The sequence below is a fragment of the Homo sapiens genome, chromosome 2, assembly GCF_000001405.40.
Source record: "Homo sapiens chromosome 2, GRCh38.p14 Primary Assembly".
Lineage (NCBI taxonomy): Eukaryota > Metazoa > Chordata > Mammalia > Primates > Hominidae > Homo > Homo sapiens.
Genome location: NC_000002.12, coordinates 95617131 through 95626730, shown reverse-complemented (window position 1 = coordinate 95626730; position 9600 = coordinate 95617131). Strand labels below are relative to the sequence as shown.

Genomic DNA, 9600 nt, shown 5'->3' with positions numbered 1-9600 from the left:
CAAAGAGTCCCTCCCAGGTTTGTAATCCTGATGTAAGAGGGTGCTGCACCAAGTTGCTTCTTTCCAACCTGTCCTACTTTGTGTAGAGGAGGAGAGCGGGGAAGGAAGAAAAGAGAAAAAAAAAAAGCAAAGAAGTAAAAAGAGGCAGAAGGACAGTCCCTTTTCCTTGACACGGATGGCATGAATGGGCTTTTGCGGAGAAACTCTGCCTGACCCTGGAGTCTGAGTCAGGCAGAGTCTGAGTCAGGTGGAGTCCCAGTTAGAAGTCCTCTGAGGAAGCTGCACTAGAGTCACTGCCCTCAGACATCAACTTCCATGTCTTCCCCACTGCTGCAGTCTAAAGAGTTACTGCTTTCTTCCTCTTCGCCATCTTTCTTCCTGTTCTCTTCTGGTTCCATGGAGACCTGACAGTTTACCCAAATAGTCTGTGATGCCTCTGTTCCTGCAGCCTGGAGCCCCTGCCCCTCCCCAAACCCTTCTTGCAGACCCTTTGCTGATGAGGACTGCGGATCTGTTTGTTTCAAGCTGGGGGCCGGGCCTCCCATCATCGCCATATTCTTACCCTTAGCATAGGTCGATTCTTTGTACGCAGCATAATCTTCAGGTGACAAAGTCTTGAGCCAGAGATCCAATTCCACTTTGTATTCCTTCTGCAGCAACTCAGCCTGGCTCTTGTAATGATCCTTCTGGCTCTGCGGGATGCGCTGCCAGCGTCTGCCAATCTCTACCATGCGCTCCCTCAGGGACAAATGTTGCAGCTCCTTACTTGACCAGGAATCTTGGTGAAACTTGTGGTATCCATTCATGGGGGGTTTCTGAGGCTCTCCATGAAATTTTACCTTCTTGAAAAATTGATCCGTTTTTGGAAGAGACGTCACTTCTTCAATATTTTTCTGAACTTTCTTTTGCACTTTGGTTTGAATCCTCTTGGAGATATCAGATTTCTTGCCCTTCTGGTCTAAATCAGGGTGCTCTTCCCTGAATCGAACAAGTTTTTCCTCAAATTCTTGCTTTTCCTTCTGGAAATCCTGAATATATTTCTGTTTCATCTGCTCTGGGAGCTCCTTGTATTTCTTTGACAGGATTTTGGTCAGTTCCTGGCTTCTCATCCCAGGGTACATTTGGGAGTACTGGGGCCAATTCTCCTTGAAGAAGCGGATATAAGCAGTAAGGGGCCTCTTTGGAAAGTCTGGATGGTTCCTGCCTTTTTGGCTTTTGTTTGTATTTTTAACACATTTCTTAGCTTCCAGGACTAATTTTTTCAAAGTGCTGAATTTTCTCAAGCTGCAAGAAATCTCTAACCATTTGAGTCTGCACATTTCACCAGAAAAGTTTTTAAAAGCTACTTTTCCCCAGTCCATGTGTGACTGAGTTGAGCTGAACGTGCCGTTGTCATCAGATGGGAGATTATTCTCCATGCATTCCAGTAACCTCAAGATGTCTGCGTTGGACCAATGGCCTTGGCTTCTAGGCAAAGCCATTTTGATGTCTTTGGCTTACTTATAAGATCCCAGTTATGCAAACACCAGAGTAAGAACACAGAGTTCCTTACTTTTAAGAGTCAGTGGATGATTTCTTTCTGGAAGTCCTGCAGTATGTGTGATTCTGTATTTCTGAGGAGAAAGAAAGGAAAGTTACTCTGCTTCATTGGGATTAATGAAAAAAATTACACCCTATTCGCCATATATCCCTTGTATAATTAATTTACTCTTAAGGATATAAATAAAATATAGCCCATTTCTGAATGAAAATCCATATTTGCCTTTCATATGCTACATGCGCAATATTCAACATCTCCGCACCCCACCCCAGCCTTCTTTCTGCCAGATCTCGCATGAACCGATCTTAAATTGAGTTGCATAAGGCAAACACCAGACCACTCATCACTTAAGAAGCTTAATAGAACAGAAATGCCCTGAAGACAGAGTCAAGAGCTAAAGTGGAAGGAGAAATGCCTAAACCGGAAAGACTGTTCATTCTACAGTGCCCTGAGTATCGCCATTTTCTAAGCACAGCCCAAATAGCCATAGCTAAAGGTGCAGATGAGAAGTTAAAGATGCAACAGGACAAGCCCAAGAGCTCCTCCAGACATGCATCCAACTGTTACCTTTTTATGAGGGAATGTGAACCTGTGATAAAAGACTGAATTAAAGATTCTCCAGGACCCATGCATGGGAATGAATGCTTTCTAGCGAACCATACCGCTTCTCCTTTTAAATATCAAGGATTTAATGACAATTATAAAACATTTCAATTTCAGTTGGTTAACTGTTCGTCATCTTTAAGCCTCAGTGAAAGTTTGGCTTCCTCCGGAAAGTGCCTCCAAAATACCTGGCATTTTCCATTATAGAACTTGAAAACATGGCAGATCCGATAACTACTGCTTATTTTATTTATTTATTTATTTTTACCAATTTTGTTTTGCCTAAAGTAATTCCTCTGGGACATGATTTCCCAACTAATTCTCCAAATTCTCATAACTCTTTCACTTGTCTTTTTAGGATAATCTTCTATTCTAAGACAAAGCCTAACTTCAGTAAAATTGTGTACAAACACATACAACATTAAATTAAACCAGATCTTAAATAGAGGGTGCATAAGGAGTGTAACATGGGGCCTTCGGGGGAAAATATGCATTAGAAGGGAAAGAGAACAGAGTTAAGATGTCAGTGGAGGTTGAAATTCTGAGAATGAGTTTCAGAATATGTGAGAATATTTTTGAGAACTATTTTTAATTCTCAGTAGAGTACAGAAGGATGTAGCCTTTGAATGACGTTAAAAATTCACTAGAAGTGTGAAGAATGTTATAATATCACATGCCTCAAAACACAAATTCCTTAATATAGAGATTAAAATGTTTTAAAATACTGGATAATAATTCAAGTCCATATTTGAGGTAGAAGATAAAATAAAGAATAGCTCATATATCAAATTTATTATGTGAAAAAGACTTTTGGAAAATTGTTCATAATAAATGAAAATGTAAATAAAAAATTAAAATTTATAATAAAGCATTAAAATAAACTGTGAAAAACTTAGAAGAGGGTAAACTTGAAAGTTATTGAATTTTTAACCTCAAAAATCTGAAAAAAAGTCAGTTCATTAGTGTCCTTAAAAAAAAAAAAAACTTAATAATATAACAGGAGAGTAATTAAGAAAAAAGTAACATTCACAAAGGAAAATAAAAAAATTAAAAAATATTTGATTCCATACTTTGTGTTTAAGATCAAAACATACTCTGAAATGGTTCAGGGATAAAAAGATGTCAAACTTCCAAATATATTGTAAGTGATGATTACAAAAAATAAATACATAAATAAATATAAGATGTATTCTAACTCAGAAAAAGGGGAAGTCACACAGACTTGATGTGGGAAAAGAGATGTGGAATACTCAGAATCTGAATTTAGGAAAAGAAGTACCGTCTTCCCAATTGTAAATGTTAGGATGATGCGTATAAAGCAGCGAAAATAAAAATACAGTTGTGTTTTTGTTGTTATGTGGCTCTTTTATGAGCCAGACATTTTTTCAAATTGCCAGTTAAAGAGCGTGGCCCCCCAAAATATGTGTCTAAGTCCTAACCCCTGAAACCTGTGAATATGACCTTTTGAAACTAGGATCTTTGCAGATGTAATTACCTTGGTAATCTCCTAATGAGATTAGTCTGGGTTTAGGGTGGGACCTAAGTCCAATGACTCGTATCATTATAGAAGAAATCAAAGGAAGATCTGAGACACATCGACAGCCATGTGGAGACAGAGGCGGAGACAGAGCTCACTGGAGCTATGCTGCCACAAGCCAATGAAAGCTAAATGTTCCCATCAGCCACCAGAAACCAGCAGACAGGGAGGGGCTGGATTTCTACTCAGAATCCCCAATGGGAACCAACTCTGTCAACATGTTGATTTTAAATTTTAGGTTTTCAGTATGTGAGAGAGCAAATTATTGTTTCATCTGTGATAGTTTATTACAGCAGCCCCAGCAAAGTAATACGCGAATGTTTTACACTTATTATTAATATCTTATTTTTCTCCTTGAATCTCTATGAGGTCATTTTATGCTTGCTGTTCTATTACTTCCATGATGAAACTGCGACCAGGTGTGGAGGCTCATGCCTGTAATCCCAGCACTTTAGGAGCCTAAGATGGGAGGATCACTTGAACTCAGGAGTTCAAGATAAGCCTGGGCAACAAGTGAGAAACCCCTGTCTCTTAAAAAAAGAAAGAAAGAAGCTGGGAAAAACTAAGAATTTATACAGGGCCCGGCACGGTGGCTCACGCCTGTAATTTCAACACTTTGGGAGGCTGAAGCAGGAAGATTGCTTGAGCTCAGGAGTTTGAGACCAGCCTGGGCAACATAGACAGACCCCATCTCTAGAAAAACAAAAATTTAGCCAGACCCACACTTGTAGTGCCTGTAGTCCCAGCCACTCTGGAGGCTGAGGTGAGAGGATGGCTTGGGCACAGGAGGGCAAGACTTCAGTGAGCCTTGATTGTATCAGTGCACTTCAGACTAGGCAACAGAGTGAGACCCTGTCTCAAAAAAATTAACCTTGTCAATTGTATGTGATTGCCCTCTTTTCTGTGTTAGAATACATCTTTTATTTGTTTACTTTTTATTTTTTATCATCATCACTTGTAAAATACTTAGAAGTTTAAGACATCCTTTTATCCTTGAACCATTTGAGGGTAAGTTTTGATCTTAAGTATAATGTATGGACTCCTGTGACTTTGTGAAGCTGTATGAATTCTTAATTTTTAATTTTTATTATTATTTTTTAATTTTTGTGACATAAAAAGTAAAAAATAAAAATAAATTAATAAATAAAAATGTATAACCTTCACAAAGTCACATGTTTTCTATTTTATAGAGTAAAAATATCAAAAAATAAAAAGAGGCTTTGAAAAGAACATTCAAACAACAAAACAGATTTTGTAAATTAAAAATACCATTACATAAATAAAAACTTCAGTGGAATATTAGGAAAATAAAAAAGTGCCTTTGAGCATTTTGGAAACTTTGCAGACGACCAAGGCTGCATGCAACCTGAAGTTACGGACAACATAGAACTTTTCATATTCTACAATAAATGTTTCCAATTAAATTCTAGATGTCATGTTACAGATAAAACTGTAAAATATCCAGGACTTTCCGTCCAGAAGTTCACAATTTTTATACCCAAAGAAAAAAATTAAAGGAAATACTCACCTGAATATTCTATAACTGGTCTGAACAGTGCTTGCAGGAAAATTCATGCATTTGGCTCAGGAGTTGGGTGTCCTCTGGGCTTTCTGGATAACAGATGTTATTCTCTGAGATTTCCACAGTCTAGCAAATTCCAAATGCCTCTATAAATAATAAGCCTTGCTTTTTGGAGGCCAATGTATTATAGGATCCTTAAAGCCCCTCCCTTATTAGGTTTCTGCAGTACAGAGGACCAATGAAAGGATTTACCCTTCCACCATTGTTTACATCAGCTCAATTTCTAATCTCTGTAAATAGCCCTCTACAAACACCCTCTAGTTGTGGTTAGTGCTGGTTTATCTTGTCATTTATTTATTTATTTATTTATTTTGAGAGGGAGTCACCCTCTGTCATCCAGGCTGGAGTGCAATGGCCTGATCTCGGCTCACCGCAACCTCTGCCTCCCAGGTTCAAGGGATTCTCCTGTCTCAGCCTCCCGAGTTGTTCAGATTACAGGCATGTGCCACCAGGCCCGGCTGATTTTGTAGTTTTAGTAGAGACACGGTTTCACCATGTTGGCCAGGCTGGTCTGGGACTCCTGACCTCTGGTGATCCGCCCGCCTTGGCCTCCCAAAATGCTGGAATCACAGGTGTGAGCCACCATGCCTGGCTTTTGTCATTGATTATTAAACAACACCCACGTGGCAAATTCATGTTTGATTTTCTGGGGCCCCAAGTCTACTTTCATTTCTGCTCCCACGTCTGATAGTATTTTTATATGATATTTGAATACATCATTCCATTCTTTGATAATTTCTGCCCTTTCTTCACTGAAATCTAGGATCTGCTACCATCTCACCTGGCTCATCGACAGGTAAATCCCTTCAGTACTGATCAATTTCTACCAGTCTTTAGATTTGAAGATCAAAATGCTAATGACCATGATGGATGGTTTTGGAAAAAGACAAGTAGAGCCTCAATGTCTGGCACCTATGGCTGATTTAATTTTAAACTCAGGGAAATGAAATAGGTACTGTGCATAAAAAATATTCAGGTGATTTTATTTAAAGCATTTTTACTAAATTCAAACTAATCAAAAAAACCTTTATTTAAATGACAACTTATTTGAATAATTTTTAAATTTTTATTTTTAATCAATATATAAAAATTGCACATATGTATGACATACAATATAATATTTTGATACATGTATAAATTGTGCATTGATCAAATTAGGGTTTGACAACCTCAGGCTTCATAATTTATAAAATAGACTTTTGCCATTTAAAAACTTTATATCTAAAGTTACCAACTAGTAATTAACTGAACATATCAAATAATAAGATATTACTTAAAAGAACCTAAATTAATAAAATGTTTAAATACATTTTGAGCTTTAAAATACAATAAATAAATATGACTTATTTTAGAAAAATTTCTAAAAAAGTATAGACAAAGGTGGATTTAGACAAAAACATGTACAGAAAAATATCAAAAGGACTAAACCCCTTGGAGATTTTAATGGTAAAAGCTTGCTGATATTATTTTTAAAATTATCATCTTTTAAAAAAACATTTTATGGCCATTTGTTAATGAGCATAAGCTTCTACTGAAAATGAAATCTTTGCTTCTATAAGAATATACTCTCAGATATGCATCTCTTATAGAGCTAACATAAATAATTATTTAGATGTCTGTAGTTACAATAAGCTTTATATGATGGGGTTTAGAAATATCTAGAAAGCAAGCCCTGGGGATAATTCTAACACATGCTACAGTTTGGGAATGTAAGCTCAAACTGTCATCCATCTAGTGACTTAAAGTTTGTCTTCTACTCTAAAATACATCAACACACACACATATATGTGCACATGTAAATATATACAAATAAAATATTGTAGTGAAATAAAATACCTTTTTTTGTTTGTTAGTTGGTGTTGAGAAAAGCTCTAGCTCTGTTGCCCAGAATGGAATGCAGTGGAACAATCATGGTTCACTGCAGCATCAAACTCCTGGGCTCAAGTGATCCTCCCGCCTCAGCCTCCTAAGTAGCTGGAACCAAAGATGTGTGCCACCATGCCTGGCTAATTTTTTAAAAAAACATTTTTATAGAAATGGAGTATCTCAGTGTTGTCCAGGCTCATCTTGAACTCCTGGATTCAAGCCTTCCTCCTACCTCAGCCTCCCAAAGTGCTGGGATTAAAGGCATAAGGCACTATGTCTGGCCTTGAAAGGAATTTTTATTCAGTCTTTTCCAGATGTTTTTGCTTTTTTCTGGTGCTAGTCCTAAGAAAATTAAGAAGTCCTAAGAAAACTCTTCCCAACATGTAAAACATGCATTCGTTGGTTATTATGGCAATATTCCCTGCATGAGTAATTTTGGTGGTTAGCTTCTGTCTCATCATTTCTAGAAAAAATTTTATTTCTGTCATAACCCCTAATGCTTAGTAAAAAGGCTCTTTCTTTGTATGTTGGTCTTCTTCTTGCAAATTAGACACCCAGTATCAGCTAGTATTTCATTGTTGAGGACCAGCCCTGTGCTGGAGAACTCTGGTTTCAGGGCCGCTACTTACCATGGTAGCTCATGGCTGTGCTCTTTCTTTCTTCCTTGTTCCACTTCACAACATCTCACACAGGACAAAAACAGAGCAGATATGTTCAGATCCTCTGATGTTAATTGAGGCCACTTTGCTTTTTGAGAAATACAAAATTTGACCCCAAAACATCCATCCAGATTGTATACAGAGTCTATAGTGACCTCTCCAATATGACCTCCTGCTTTAACAGAATCAGTTCAGGTTCTGGATATTCTCACCAATCTCAAGTTAGCTGCAACTGCTGGAGTTTTCATCAATTCAGATACAAAACCATTTACTTTCTTTGATTTCAACAATAAGAATCACAAAACTAGATCTTACATACAAAGTACACCTCACTAAATTGGGGGATTGGTAAATAAATTAAATTAAAAGTGGTTATCATCTATTGCTATTTATATATTTCCTTGTAACCATTTCCAGTCTTGGTACCCATCCCTCATCCGATGGTGCCTGGCGCTCCTCTGTGCAAATGTCCTCTCTCCTATTTCCACAAAGGCAAAATGCTGTTTTCTATATTTAGGAATACTATCAACTTGTTGTTACTGTTGCCATTACTTCATAGTCACCTACTCATATGTACAGTTTCTAAACTAAAATATGGCAAGACACTTGTCAATGAAGACAATTCCATGTGAAATTTTAGGCGTGTTTCTTTTTCTGCAGAGTAATTGACTGATTCTCAAATTTTACGGGGCTAGTTTAGGCACAGCTCTTCCCTCTGAGATCTTCATTTTCTGAGAAACTAACTCTGAATCTGTGTCCTGATGAGGATCTGCCGTCACACATACCACAAAGTGCCACCCGTGTCAATCATGAAAGTCCGCACTCAAACTGACACCCACAATTGATATCACAGCAGAGAAACAAGGACATAGAGCACAACTGAGAGGAAGAGCTGTCTCAGCCATGCAGCCAAATGCTTAGGACCAAATAAGGAATCCACGCCTCACACTCTCTGGGTTGGAGAAGATGGGACCGCATTAGATAAGTTGGTTTTTCGTTTGTTTGTTTGTTTGTTTGCTTGTGAGATGGACTCTTGCCCTGTTCCCCAGGCTGGAGTGCCCTGGCACGATCTCGGCTCGCTGCAACCTCCGCCACCTCGGTTCAAGCAATTCTCCTGCCTTAGCCTCCCAATTGGCTGAGATTACAGGCACCCACCAACACGCCCGGCTAATTTTTTATTTTTATTTCTAGTAGAGACGGGGTTTCACCAGTTGGCCAGGCTGGTCTTGAACTGATGACCTCAGGTGATCTGCCGCTCTCAGCCTTTCAATGTGCTGGGATTACAGGCGTGAGCCACCGCGCCTGGCCTAGATAAGTACTTTTGAGGGATAAGATGGTAATACCTGAAATATTTGGCTAGAGATGTTCCTATATTGTTTTTCCTTCCATCTCTCTGTCTGTTACTTGTATCCTAGACTAACAACCAAGGCTCCTTTCCATGGAAATTATTCTACTCTCTTAGCCGTTGCCTCTTTCTGCCTATAGAACATCTTGCACACCACTACCTGACCAGATTTTATAACTCAGCATTCAAGTGAAGCTCCTATTATAGTCCAAACTCTTCCTTATGGTATCCTTGCTTTTTCAGTACTAATCTGAGATACTCCTGCTGCTTTTCTTCAGAACAAATAGCTCTTTCAATAAAGCTAATGTCAGGAAACTTGCCATGCAAATAAACACAACAAATACATTGAAACACAATCTATTTTATTTTTTTCCGTAACAAACCTCTTAAGTGAATTTATGTCCTTAATGAAAGAGTTGTTTGCTTTTCCAAGTTCTGCATTTTCTTTTCTAAATTGTTCCCATTTTC

At 38.1% G+C, this 9600-nt stretch overlaps 1 pseudogene; it reads right to left on the bottom strand.

Annotated features, from left to right (window-relative positions):
- Window positions 1-326: 326 nt before the first annotated feature.
- Window positions 327-1481, bottom strand: UBTFL3 (UBTF like 3 (pseudogene); annotated as a pseudogene).